This window comes from Homo sapiens, chromosome 6 (assembly GCF_000001405.40).
Source record: "Homo sapiens chromosome 6, GRCh38.p14 Primary Assembly".
Classification (NCBI taxonomy): domain Eukaryota; kingdom Metazoa; phylum Chordata; class Mammalia; order Primates; family Hominidae; genus Homo; species Homo sapiens.
The window spans coordinates 90,248,803-90,262,434 of record NC_000006.12 but is presented as its reverse complement, the minus strand read 5'-3'; the positions used below and the strand labels follow the sequence as shown (position 1 = coordinate 90,262,434).

General features: G+C 37.6%; 1 protein-coding gene across 2 annotated transcripts in view, besides 1 other annotated feature; it reads left to right on the top strand.

The window, feature by feature from the left end:
- Nucleotides 1–13,632, top strand: part of BACH2 (BACH transcriptional regulator 2) — a 370,316-nt gene that overhangs the window by 34,409 nt on the left and 322,275 nt on the right. Inside the window, exon 3 of one of the 2 annotated variants that reach the window (NM_021813.4) lies at nt 9,845–9,922. The exons of the other annotated variant lie outside the window; for it this stretch is intronic. The gene's annotated coding sequence lies outside the window, so the exon portion shown is untranslated. The remainder of the gene's footprint in view (nt 1–9,844; nt 9,923–13,632) is intronic. 2 annotated transcript variants of the gene reach the window in all.
- Nucleotides 10,751–10,840: an enhancer, noted in NCBI's record as "active region_24833". NCBI's record gives its function as "activates an Ori minimal core promoter by ATAC-STARR-seq in GM12878 lymphoblastoid cells {active_cell/tissue: GM12878}" and the evidence as "EXISTENCE:reporter gene assay evidence [ECO:0000049][PMID:35858748]".

Sequence of the window (13,632 nt, the reverse complement as noted above, 5' to 3'; positions counted from 1 at the left end):
AACACAACAGCCACTTGAATGGCCTGGGAATGGGGCGTGGGGATGGGAAGGGGCTCCACAGATAGGTGAATTGGTCTGTAAAAGTCATCGCTGTACAAATGAATCCCAAACCAAACATTGAAAGAATGCACAGTAGATTCCCCCAGTTAGGGCAGGGTCATAGAGCATTTTGGGCAAAGAGCCCATACAAGGCCATAGAAGCATGAAACATATGCCACATTGTATGAATTTCAAATAACTTCATATAATGAGAGTTTGGGAACATGGAGAAGGTAGTGGAGGAAGATCAGACTAAAACTGATTATGAAGGACCTTACGTACCATGCCAAGGAGGCTGGCCTTCATCCTGTAGTCAGTGGGGAACAACTTCAGGAATCTCAATGCAGAGGTTTCATGATGAAATTTGTGCTTTAGAAATATTCTCTTGCAGCACTGTGGAGGTACAGATAAGTAGGAATGGAATCCAAGGCGAGAGGGTCACTCTGCTCCTACAGAAGTTCATGGGGCAGTGGCAGTGGGGAGATAAGGAGATGATGGTGCTGAGAGCCAGTTAAGAAATAGAATCCTCAGAACTTGGTAACTGATTGGTTATGAGTATTGAGACTACATGGGTGACTACATGAGTGATCTCATCAGTATATAAGTATATAAGTGCTCAATTAGATCGTGAGATCAAGGGGCGATATTAATGTAGGAAACAGAGAACAGAGAGAACCAATGATATAAGCCCTAGGAAGTGGACTTTTAAGGAGGAAGCAAATAAAAAGAAGCTTTAGAAGGAATGATCTGAGGGTATGAGGAAAACCTGAGGATAGGGTGCTCCACGAACCCAAAGCAGGAATCTGCAGAAGGAGGGAGTAGTCAAGAATGTTGAATACTTCAGAGGGGTCAAGCAAGGGTTCCAGGATGTGTCAACTGGTAGGTTCAGTAATCCTAGCAAGAGCAATTAGTGGGTGGTGAAAAATAAGAAATGAGATGGTTCATTTATACTACTCTTTCAAGGAGCTTAGATACTAAGGGAAGGAGAGCAAGAGTTGTCAAGGAACATTTTTTTAATATTCTTTTTCAAGGTTAAAATCTCAAGCAAGTTTACATCCTGGAGGATAGATATAATCCATTAGACAGGAAGAAGAAGGAGATAACTGATGGAATAATGTCTCTAAGCAGATCTGATGGCACGTAAGCTAGAACACATGGCAAGATTAGCTTTGGGCTAGACAAAGGACAACTCAGTTTTTAATAGATGGGAACAAAGGAGGAAAGACTGGGTGTGGATATGGATAAGGGATTGTAGGTCTTGAAAGTTGGAAGTTTGAGGGGTGTAGTGTCCATGAAAATAAGTGCTTAGATCTACAGCTAGAAGCGTAGTTGACTGATGGCCCAACTGCTGCCCCTCTGCAGCCACCCTTGCATTGTACTAAACTACAAATTGCCACTAGCGTCTCCCAGTCATGACCAAGCACAATAGGGGCTCCTATTTCAGGCTCATTCCTGTGGGACACAGGACTTTTCCAGTGGGCCAAATTGGCTCAAGAACTCCTATTGGCCTGAGCAGACCTTTCTTGGAACTGTGTTGGAATCCAAGACTTCCTAGCCATTCCTTCTTCCTTTCCTCTCCATGTCCATAGGTGTGGTTTGAAGGACCTCCCACATTCTGTGGCTTCCTTTCTCAATATATCTTTTGTATTTCTAGTTCTATCTTGGTACTTGCTTCTGGGTAGACCCAAACTAACATAAAGAATTTGGTCGAAATGTGTATATTATTAAGGTAATGCTAGCTGCTGTAAAAATAACTTCTCAGTTCAACAACATGTACATCATTCAGACAGAAAATTAGTAAGAAATGCAGGACTTGAATTGCATTTTTGGCCAAATGGACCCAATAGACATGTACAGAATTTTCCATCCAACAGCAGCAGAATGTAAAGTTTTTCTAGAGTATACATAGAACATTCTCCAGGATAGACCATATGTTAGGCCACAAAATTTAAGATTGAAATTATGTCTAGTATCATTTCAGATATAACTTCAAACCACAGTGGTATAAACTAGACATCAGTGACAGGAGGAATCTTGAAAAATTCACAAATATCTGGAACATAAACAACATGCCCCAGAACAACCAATGGGTCAAAGAAGAAATTAAAAGATAAATTTAAAAAATGCCTTGAGACAAATGACAACGGAAACACAATATACCAGAACTGATGGGATATAGGAGAAGCAGTTCTGAGAGGAAAGTTTATAGCAATATATGCCTACATTAGAAAAGAAGAAAGATCTCAAATGAATAGTGTGACATTACACCTCAAGGAACTAGAAAAAGAACAAACTAAAACCAGATTAGTAGAAGGAAAGAAATAAAAATCAGAACAAACATAAACTAAATGGATAATAGAAAAGCCACAGGAAGAATCAATAAACTTAAGAGTTGGGTTTTTTTTTAAGTAAAATTGGCAAACCCATAGATAGTCTAACAAAGAAAAAAGAAAACTCAAGTAAAACCAAAAATGAAATTGAAGAAATTACAACAGACACCTCGGGAATAAAAAGGATGATAAGTCCCTATTACGAACAATTATATGCCAACAAATTGGGTGGCCTAGAGGAAACAGATAAATTCCTAGGAAAATACAACCTACCAGGATTGACTCAGGAAGAAATAGAAAGCCTGTAACAGACCAATCACAAATAGATTGGAGAAGTAATGAAAAACCTCTCAACAAAGACAAGCCCAGGAACAGATAGCTTCACAGCTGAGTTCTACCAGACATTCAAAGAATTGATACCAGTACTTCTTAAACTCTTCCAAAAAAATAGAACTAGAAGGAATACTTTCAAACACATTTTATGAGGCCAGGATCACCCTGATACCCAGCCAGCCAAAGACATCACAAGAAAAGAAAATTTAAACCCAATTTCTCTGATGAATATTGGTGCAAAAAGCCCCAGTAAAATATTAGGAAACCAAATCCAACAACACATCAAAAAGATTACATGTCATGACTAAGTGGGATTTATCCCTGGCATACAAAGCTGGTTTAACATCTGCAGATCAATCAGTAGTGATACATTGCATTAACAGAATGAAAGATAAAAATCACATGATAATCTTAATTGACACAGAAAAAGCATTTGACAAAGTCCAACATCCTTTATTGAGAAAAATGCTCAATAGTGTATGTATAGAAGGAAAGCTTCTCTGTGTAATAAAGGCCATTTATGAAAAACCCACAGCTAACATTATAATACATGGGGGAAAACTGAAAGTTTTTCCATGAAGGTCTAGTATCAGGCAGGCATGGATGCCCACTTTCACCACTTCTATTCAACATAGTACTGGAAGTACCAGCAATAGTAATTAGATAAGGAAAAGAAATTAAAGGCATTGAGGTCAGGAAGAAGTAAAGTTATCTCTATTTGCAGATGGTGTGATCCTATATTGTAGGGGGGGAAAAAAGCCCCTGCAGATTCCACACAAAAAAACTGTTAGAACAACGAATGAATTCAGTAAAGCTGTGGGGTGCAAAATCAACATGCAAAATCAGTTGCGTTTTTTTTCATACCAATTACAGTCTGTTTGAAAAGAACATGAAGAAAATGGTCCCACTTAACAAAGCATCAAAAAGAACAAAATACCTAGGAATAAATTCAACCAATGTGAAAGATGTGTACACTGAAAACTATAAAACATTAATGAAAGAAATTAAGCACAAAAAAATGGAAAGATATCACATGCTCATGGATCAGAAGAATTAATATTGTTGAAATGTCCATAGTACCCAAAGCAATATACAGATTCGGTGCAATCTCTATCAAAATTCCAGTGACCTTCTTCACAGAAATAGAAAAAATGCTTCTTAAATTTGTACAGAACCATGAAAGACCCTGAATAGCCAAAACAATTATGAAAAAGCAAAACAAAGTTGGAGGTATTATACTTCCTGATTTAAAAATTATATTACAAAGTTATAGTAATAAAGACAGTATTATACAGGCATAAAAACAGACACATAGACCAGTGGAACAGAATAGAGAGTCCAGAAATAAATCCACGTATATATAGTCAACTAATTTTTGACAAGGGCACCAAGAAGACACAATGGGAAAAGAATAGTCTCTTTGATAGGATGTTAAGAAAACTGGATTTCCACATGCAAAAGAATGGAATTGGACTGTTATCGTATACCACATACAAAAATCAACTCAAAATTGATAAAAGACCTAAACATAAAAGCAGAAACTATAAAACTCCTACACAGGAACATAGGGGAATAGCTCCTGGACATTGGCGTTGGTAGTCAGCTTTTGGATATCACAACAAGAGCTCAGGCCACAAAAGCAAAATTAAATAAATGGGGGCTGGGCGCAGTGGCTCACGCCTGTAATCCCGGCACTTTTGGGAGGCTGAGGTAGGGGGATCACAAGGTCAGGAGATCGAGACCATCCTGGCCAACATGGTGAAACCCCATCTCTACTAAAAATACAAAAATTAGCTGGGTGTGGTGGCGCACACCTGTAATTCCAGCTACTTGGGAGGCTGAGGCAGGAGAATCGCTTGAACCCAGGAGGCCGAGATTGTAGTGAGCCGAGATGGCGCCACTGCACTCTAGCCTGGAGGACAGAGTGAGACTCCATCTCAAAAATAAAATAAATAAATGGGACTACACCAAACTAGAAAGTTTCTGTACAGTAAAGGAAACAATCAACAAAGTGAAGTAGCAGCCTACAGATTGGGAAAAAATTCCAATCAGTATATCCCAATATTCCAATGTACATCAGATATATTGTAAATCATGTATTTGGTAAGGAGTTAGTAGCCAAAATTTATCAGGAACTCATACAACTCAATAGCAAAGAACAAACGAATTACCTGATTTATAAAATGGGCAAAAGGCCTGAGTAGACATTTTTCTAAAGAAGACACAAAGATGGCCACAGGCATATGAAAGGGTACACAACATCATATCAGGGAAATGCAAATCAAAACCACTGTGATTTACCTCCTCACAACTGTTAGGATGGCTGTTATCAAAAAGTCAAAAGATAACAAATGTTGGTGAGGATGTGGAGGACTCTTGTCCACTGTTGGTGGGAATGTAGATTGGGTATAGCCGTTATGGAAAACGTTATAGAGGTTTCTAAAGAAATTAAAAACAGAACTACCATATATGACCCAGCCATTCCTTTTCTGGGCATATACCCAAAGGAAATGAAATCACCACCTCATAAAGATGTCTGCACTCCCATGTTCACTGCAGCATGATTCACAATAACTAAGATATGGAAACAACCTAAGTGTCTGATGATGGACAAATAGAGAAAGAAGTGGCTGTAAGTATACCACATTTGGTTTATACAAAATGAATATTATTCAGCCCTAGAAAATAATGAGAGCTTGTCATTTGCCACAACATGGGAAAGCCCATTGTGCTAAGCGAAATACGCCAAAGAAAGACATATTATATGATCTTACTTATATGTGGAACCAAAAAAATTTCAAATATGCAGAGAGAATACAACAGTGGTTACCAGGGATATGGGTTGTGGGCAGGAAATGGAGAGATGTAGGTCAGAGGATACAAAGTAGTATGAACAAGTATAGAGATCTAATGTGCAGTATGAAGACTATAGGTATGGGATTCATGCTAAGTGAGATTTTAGCTGCTCTTAACATAAAAACAAAAATAGGGTAACTGAGATGATGGATATGTTAATTTGCTTCACTACAGTAACCTTTTTACTATCTATATTAAGCCTATAACATCACGTTGTATACCATAAATATACGTAATAAAAATTATTTTTCAAAATAAAAAAATACAAGATAACTTCTCAACATTTCACTGTTCTAACACAAGTTTCTTCCTTATTCACATGAGGTCTTAAATGGGTGTTGATGAATGGTAGGTGACATTTTCCTCCTGGAAATCCTTCAGGAATTCAGATTCCTTCCATCTTGTAGTTTCTCCATCTTCACCATGTGACTCCCAGAGTTACTGTGCTTGTTTGCATCACATCAAGAGAGGGGGAAAAACATGGCAGGTTACACATGGAAGGTTTTTATGGAGTAGGCCTAGAAATTAGCATAGAAATTAGGCCTAGAAATTAGCATAATCACTTTCACTTATATTTCGTGGTAGAACTCAATCACATGTCACCAACTAGCTGCAAAGGAGGCTGGAAAACGTGGCCCAGCTGTGCACCAGGAAGAAGACACTATAAGTTTCATGGAATAGTCCCTGTGGGAAGTGGGAGGACACAGCTAATGCTATGAGGCCTGGATTTATCACACTGTACGTTTTATGTGAGATTTTTTTTTTCCCCAGGAGCTTCAACATTGAGTTCACTGGTGAAGTTGCTGAGAAAGCAGGTGGTTGAGTTTGAAATTCAGAATTTGGAGGTTCAAAACTGAATAGTTTTAAAAGGAAAACTTGGGCAAGTCTCCGTTGGAAAATGTCTTTTCAGTGTTTCGGTACATTTTGGGGTTGATATGAGAAGGGCATAGTCACAACATATGTCACTCTGTGTGTTGCTGGTTTTGGGTCCTGCACCTGGACAACCAAACAGGACTGGCCCCTTCGTTCCTGCTTCACGTTGGACCCTTCAGTCGGAGATAGTATGACTTACAGAGGGAGAGATGTTTTCAAACCCTGTGAAACCACCCATTGTTCAGATGAACCATTTATCTTGCACTTTTCTCTAATACAAATGAATGAACCTTGCTGCTTCTAGCTAGTACCCTTATTCACCTGCTCTTCTGGTGGTATGCAATGCTCATTACATTTTTTGCTTTTGCAAATTTGTCTCATTGTGTTTCCTTTGCTTAAAGTTGGCTGTTTTCTTCTTCCCTCTTCTCTTCCCTTAAATCATTGTCAATCCAAATCCTGGACAACCTGTCCTCTCAGGCCCAACTCAAATGCCATCTCCTCTGTCATTCTCCCCATTTACCACAGTTGAGTGCCTCCTGTCTTCCTGACACTCTTTGGGTCTCAGTTTCACCACTCAGGTGGCCCATGGCTGCCTTGATACTTCTGTATGAGTCTTTCACCTACTAGATTTAAAACTTGATGATAGAACTGTGACTTCCTAGTACTTACTTGCTCTTAGCACAATGTCTTACACACAGTACATTTTTAGTAAACAATTGTTGAGTGAAAATGAATAAATATTGCTTATTGTGGAGCAGATAGAATGAAGTTCAGTTTGGAGAATCAGTCTTGTGTGGCCACAGATCACATGAGGAATGTAAAAATTAAATAAATAAAACAAGCCTAAGATAATGTGTTAGAAGGGGAGAAAGGCCTGTACCGATTTTTTGCATCTCTAATGATCATAGAGATATGATTTGTATTATTTATGTGGGCTAGAAAAGGGGATCTCTATTAGGGCTCTGAAGTTTGTGAAGGCTCCAGCCACCCATCTGATGTTGAAAAAGTCAATTGATTGAGAACCCACTGTATTTACAATCTTGACTTATTTTGGAGCGTTAATGGAGGCAAACTGAGATTTGGGTTGGTTGGTTGTAGGGAGTATAAGTTATATCAATGCTCAGGGGAGTAGTTTTGAGTTTGAAACATTACAATAACTTCTTCAGGCTTTTAAGATGTACATAAAATACTTGTAAGTGGATGATAATGAATTGACAAGAGACCTCTTTATACAGCTAGAATATATCAAGTTGTTACTTTTCTACAAATCTCCTTATAGATTGGGTTTTGCTGGTACTGTTTTTATGGTTGTAGTTGTTTATTGTAGGATAAAAGTCCAAGAGGAAATGTCTCTTAAATATAAAATGTATATTCTAAATATAATATATAGATACTATGTATAAGCTATTTTTCTGCTCTAGGTCCTTTTTATTTTCTTAAAGCCAAACATATTGTGTGTGATTCAAACAGGTAGAGAGCAATTAATTTAAAAGTGGCCTAAAACCCACCTTCCTCTACTACCTTTGAGGGGCATTATACCATTATATGATCCAGGATTTATATAGCAGATTATTTTATCACTACTCCCTTAGAGCAACCAATCAATCAGCTTCATTTTATTAGGATGCTTTAATATACCCATTTTAAAAATGTTTATTTAATATTTTTAAGTAATTTTTGAAAAGATCTAGGAAGATTCACATACTCATTTTTTCATGAACAAATTATGCTGTATACTTAATTGAGTCTGTCTGTAGGGATCATTTATTTCTATTCATCAACTCTTTACCAAGCTTCATACTAGATATTGAGATGATAGTCTATTGATTTTGTTTCTCTCTCTCATGTTTTTCTAGTATGTCTTATCTTTTGGGGTTTATTTCTGGCCCTGGAGATCATTCTTTTATGTCAGTTCTCAGCTAGTTGTGATTTGTTGCTAAATTACCTGCATTCAAGTTTTTATAAATGAATGTAGATATTTTGAAAACTATTTCTTTTAGGATACTAAACAGTAAGACAAAGATACACTGCACAATTGTGTACAAAAGGTCTTTTGGAATATGACTTCTTTGTTAAAAGCAATTTGTGCCATGATAGTTTAAAAAAAATAGTTCGGCAATGATGTTTTCATTTATGACTATGTACATACTGCATTTGAGCAGAGAGAAGTTTTTTATTATGACTAAGGCCTCTGTGTAACCAACTTCAGGTCAAATATGAAATATATGGTGTAACAAGTGCTGTGTTTTCTCTTTAAAATACACTTGGATTCTTCCACGAGGTATATTAAAAATGCTTTGACATCATTATTTCATCTTGAGTTACCCTTTCATTCACTAGCTTGGTTGGAGAAAATTAACTCTTCAATACATGATACAGAAAATCTGTTGATGCAGCCTCCCTCCAGTTCTTAGTATTTAATTTCATGAGGGACATAGCACTTTTCCCCATGTAATTACAGATTGGTAGAGTTGAGCAAGACCTTAAACATCCTGAAGTTTAACACCCATCAAATGCAGATACCTCTTCTAAGGTATCCTAATTTCTATATCGAAAATAATTCTAATTATCAGTTTACTTGGCAAATCTGCCATAATAAAGTCTTTTTCAAAGTTATCTATGCCCAGTTCCCCTCAATATTTCTCATAATATTAGTTCCACAGTCATTCTGATCTCACTCCTTTTTGCTTTCTCCAGTTTATCAGAAAGTTCCTTAAAAGGTAGTGGACAAATTATAGAAGTACCTCCCTTTTTTTTTTGAGGCAAGATTTCACTCCTGTCATCCAGGTTGGAGTACAATGGCGCAATCTTGGCTCACTGCACCCTTCACCTCCCAGGCTCAAGCAATTCTCCTGCCTCAGCCTCCCAAGTAGCTGGGTCTACAGTTGCATACCACCATGCCTAGCTAATTTGTGTATGTCTTGTAGAGACGAGTTTTGCCATGTTACCCAAGCTGGTCTTGAACTCCTTACCTCAAGTGGTCCGCCTGCTTTGGCCTCCCAAAGTGCTGGGATTATAGGCGTGAGCCACTGCACCTGGCCCTAAAGCTACTCTTTCTGAGCAGTTTGAGAGGGACTGTGGCTTATCTGGCCTTGAGAACAGTGTCTTTATTAATGCAGCCTAAGAGTACATTTTTGCAAACCCATCACACTGCCTGTATTGAATCAAGAGGCTGCTGGACCTCCATGTACTGACCATACAGGACCTCACATTTGAGCCTAGTAAACTTGACTATATTCATTTTGGTCTATTTTTAACCTTGTGAGAACTTTTGTAATCCTGTTTCTGGCATCCCTGGTGTTGTGTTTTTGTACCAATACAGCTTCTGGATCATTGTCTCAATCATTGATAAAAATGGGCAAATACAGACTTTCTGTCCAGAGTGATAATCATATCCATTACTTTTGCTTTAGATAAGAGTGTTGCTGTTGATCATCTTTGCCTGGGAAGTTGAATGATAAAGCCAGAAGAAAGCATGCTTTCTGATCATTGTAAGTTTTACTTTTAAGGAAAGAGACTAAAAAAATTTAGCAGGAAATTTAAATTTTATTAATATCATCTCATATACTTTAGAAGATCTAAAACTGTTAAAAGAAACAAAATGGTTTACACTGGAGCCTGGTTATAACCTTTCTTTGGTAGCCCATAGCTGTGGGGCCCATAGCTTTGGGGCCCAAAGCTCTCTTTGATTTGAGTCAGAGACCTTCCCATGTGCCCAGGAATTTTGATTATGGCAGGTGATATTATCAAGTCTTCATCAGATTTGGCTGGAGGGAAAAGCTGTCTGTCACCAAGTTGTGTGAATCTTTGTATTGCTAAAAAGGATACCCGGGCAGTCTTAAAACTGGTGCCTTATGTTATTTGAACTTTAAAATATTGTGATGTTCATGTTTGCTCAGGCTGGCTACTCCAGTTTTGTTACAACATAGTGCTGCTCAGACCATGGTTGAAAGTTTGATGCTAAAAAGCACAGTGTATTTGAGCATAGTCAATTCTAAAAAAAATTTTGTTTTCTTTCTTCCTTCCTTCTCCTTTCCTTTCTTCTTTCTGTCTTGAAATCTGTGGATTGAACTTTCCCACCCCTGGAAAAACAACTCAGAAAGTATATCATGTGTCATCACTATCATCTTCCTTTTATCAGTGCAGGTTTATAGAAAGTGTTCTCATATCATCCTGAATCATTTCTACAAACTATAAAACAAAATTAACTTTCCATTACAATCCTAACAATTGTAATAAATGCTCCTATTAGAAGCTTTTACTTCCATCCTGTGAAGTATATCATGCTGAGGGGAAAGTTGCATCTTCATTAGTCACCCATGACTTACTCCAGGTGTTACCCTCTAAGTTAGAAAGAGAGAGGGCAAAATACCCTGGTGACACATACGTTTTTTAAGGGAAAAAATTCTGAAAGCAAAAGGGTTCTCTCTTTTTTTAATATGACTAGCAAAAGAGTGTTGATTAAGATGTGTCAAGCAGGTGCTGGGTATGTGCTAAACTAATGGTTTTCAGAGTACTGAGTGGCTATTTTTAAATGTTTCTATATCATTCTCAGTTAAGCTGCTGGATGAAAAGTACAAAAGGCTAAAAATATTTACAGTTTCAGTAATGTCTGTTTTAAAAGAAACCATCCGCGTCTATGGCCACACCACCCTGAACGTGCCTGATCTTGTCTAAAAGAAACCATCCTGTGTGATTTTTCTTTATTTCCATTTGAAGGAAAAGAATATTATGGCTTACAGAGAAGTGGTTGAAAGCAGTTTGTTCAACACTGAGGTTTTTAGGAAAAAATGGCCATCAAAAGGACAGTAAGTTGGGTTACAAATCATCAGGATTAAAAAAAAAAAGTTGATTATTATTCCTTGTACTATATTATTATTACTATTTTTGTATTATTAACTGTAGTTCCAACTGAAAATAGTATTATCTTTGAAACTTTTTGTATGGAGTTAGGAGACAAGTTGCTGGTATCAGATTACTTGGGCCTATATCTCAGCTCTATCCCTTGGATATGTGATCCTGGATAAATTGTTTAACCTCTTTGTGCCTCAGTGTACCCATCTGTAAAACAGAATAATAATAGTGCCTTCCTGCTAAGGTTGTTGTGATTAAATGAGATGATGCTCTGCCTAACATGGTAAGTACTCAGTAAATGTTTGTTATGCTTATTTTTTTCATTTAAAAAAATTTTTGGTTAAATGAACACATTTATTCTCTTAACCATTTTTGAGTATATAACTCAGTAATATTAGCTATATTTACATTGTAGTGTAACAAATCTTTAGAATTTTTCATCTGGCAAAACTGAAATGTTTATTATGTTTTAAAAGCTCATTTTTCTTCAGAGTCAGTTACACAGCTGTGTGGACGTAACACAGGAATGCAAGCACCATTGGGGCAGGGAGTTTAGACTCTTCTGTTCACTGCTGTATCACAAGTGCCACAATCAGCATCTGGCCCATAACAGGGCTCAATCAATATCTGTCGAATGAATGAATGAATGAATGAATGAACAGTGAGGCTTCATTTGACAAACTACATGTGTGTTTGAAAATTATTTCTTAAATGGTAAATCCATTTTTATGAGTGATTTTAAGTATACATGGAAAGTTGACTCCTTTCGGAGGGTGAAGTGATTTCTAAAACAACTGTTTTGTAATTATTTAGCAGTTCTGGCTTTGGTAGGTCAACTTTTCTTAAACTGGAAAAAAAAATAGTATTCTTAGTGTAGATTGCAAAAGGAAAGAGGATATGTTAGATGATTTGCCCAAAATTTAAACAGGATTCGCTTTTTAAATTCAAGCCTTTTTGCTTTCATTCAGATCTGGTCACCAGACTTACTTTTTCCTTAAGGCATATATGAATCATCTTGTTCTTTCATTCAGAAATCAAAAGTTCAGGCCTAGATCAGTATTTACCAAAACTGGTGGAACACTACCTTTCCACTGAGAGTGCATTACCTTTTTTTGAGTCTTTGAAAAGAATGTCAGCTGAACATGGTCTGGAAGTGGCCAAAACTCTGTGGGTGGGGAGAAAGGAAGAAATAACCTATCTCCCATTTAAAAACCTACCACCTATTAAATAAACGGCAGTCTTGTTCTGTGGAGTATTCATTTGGGTTATCTATTCTGATGAACAAATACAAATTCTTGGTAGGGTTTTCTTGCTTCTGGATAAAATGCTTAGTGTTGCTTTTTGTTGTTCAATCTTAGGTTTTGTTTCATTTTGTTTTTCAGGGTCTCACTCTGTCAACCAGGCTAGAGTGCAGTAGCGCAATCATGGTTCGTGGCAGCCTCAGCAGCTCCCTGGGCTCAGGTGATTCCCCCACGTCAGCCTCTCGAGTAGTTGAGACTATAGGCACGCACCACCACACCCTGCTAATTTTTGTGTTTGTAGTAGAGATGGGAGTCTCACCATGTTGCTCAGGCTGGTCTCGAACTCCTGGACTCGAGTGATTTGCCCACTTTGGCCTCCCAAAGTGCTGGCATTACAGGCATGAGCCACTGCGCCTGGCCTGTTTTTATGATATGTATTGAAATGCTCCAATAGCATTTTATTTTTATTTAAACATTGCTGTTAGGTAGTTGGCACAAAATGTGTCTTATGCCAAAGTTTACTTCCTTCTACCAAGGAAAGGGGACTCTGTCTCCTGGACTTTGCAGTTATGGGAGGAAGATGACAGGAAGCTACATCATCTGCCAGGATTTTTATGGGGCCACATCACATACAGTGCCTGTCTGTAACTAAGAGCAAGAGCACATCTCTCCTTTCAGCTGATGTTTAGCAAACCCTCACTCTGCTCCCATGGCAAAGACAGTCACTCATCTTCCAAATTGTGGTATCTTGAGTCATTTCCATTATGACTTGTCTTCTGAAAAGTGATAAAGGAAAATCATCTTACCTAGTCATTTTTTCCCATTCTACAAGACAAAGTTTATCTCTGAATCAAAGAGCATAAATCTCTGTTGCCTCTCTGAGATAATAAAATATTTTTATATTTAAATTTTCTGTTAACAGGAAAATGTATAAAACCTTCCCAAATTTTTAACTCCTTCTTTTGATTCTATACCTACATAGGTTTTTATTTGGATTTGAAACCAAATAAAAGACCGTTTCATGGTCTGGGCCCTTGGGACAGGGTAGTAGTGAAGCAGCCAGTTCATTTATTCTTCATCTGCCCTGCCATGGCTTCCTGTTGCAC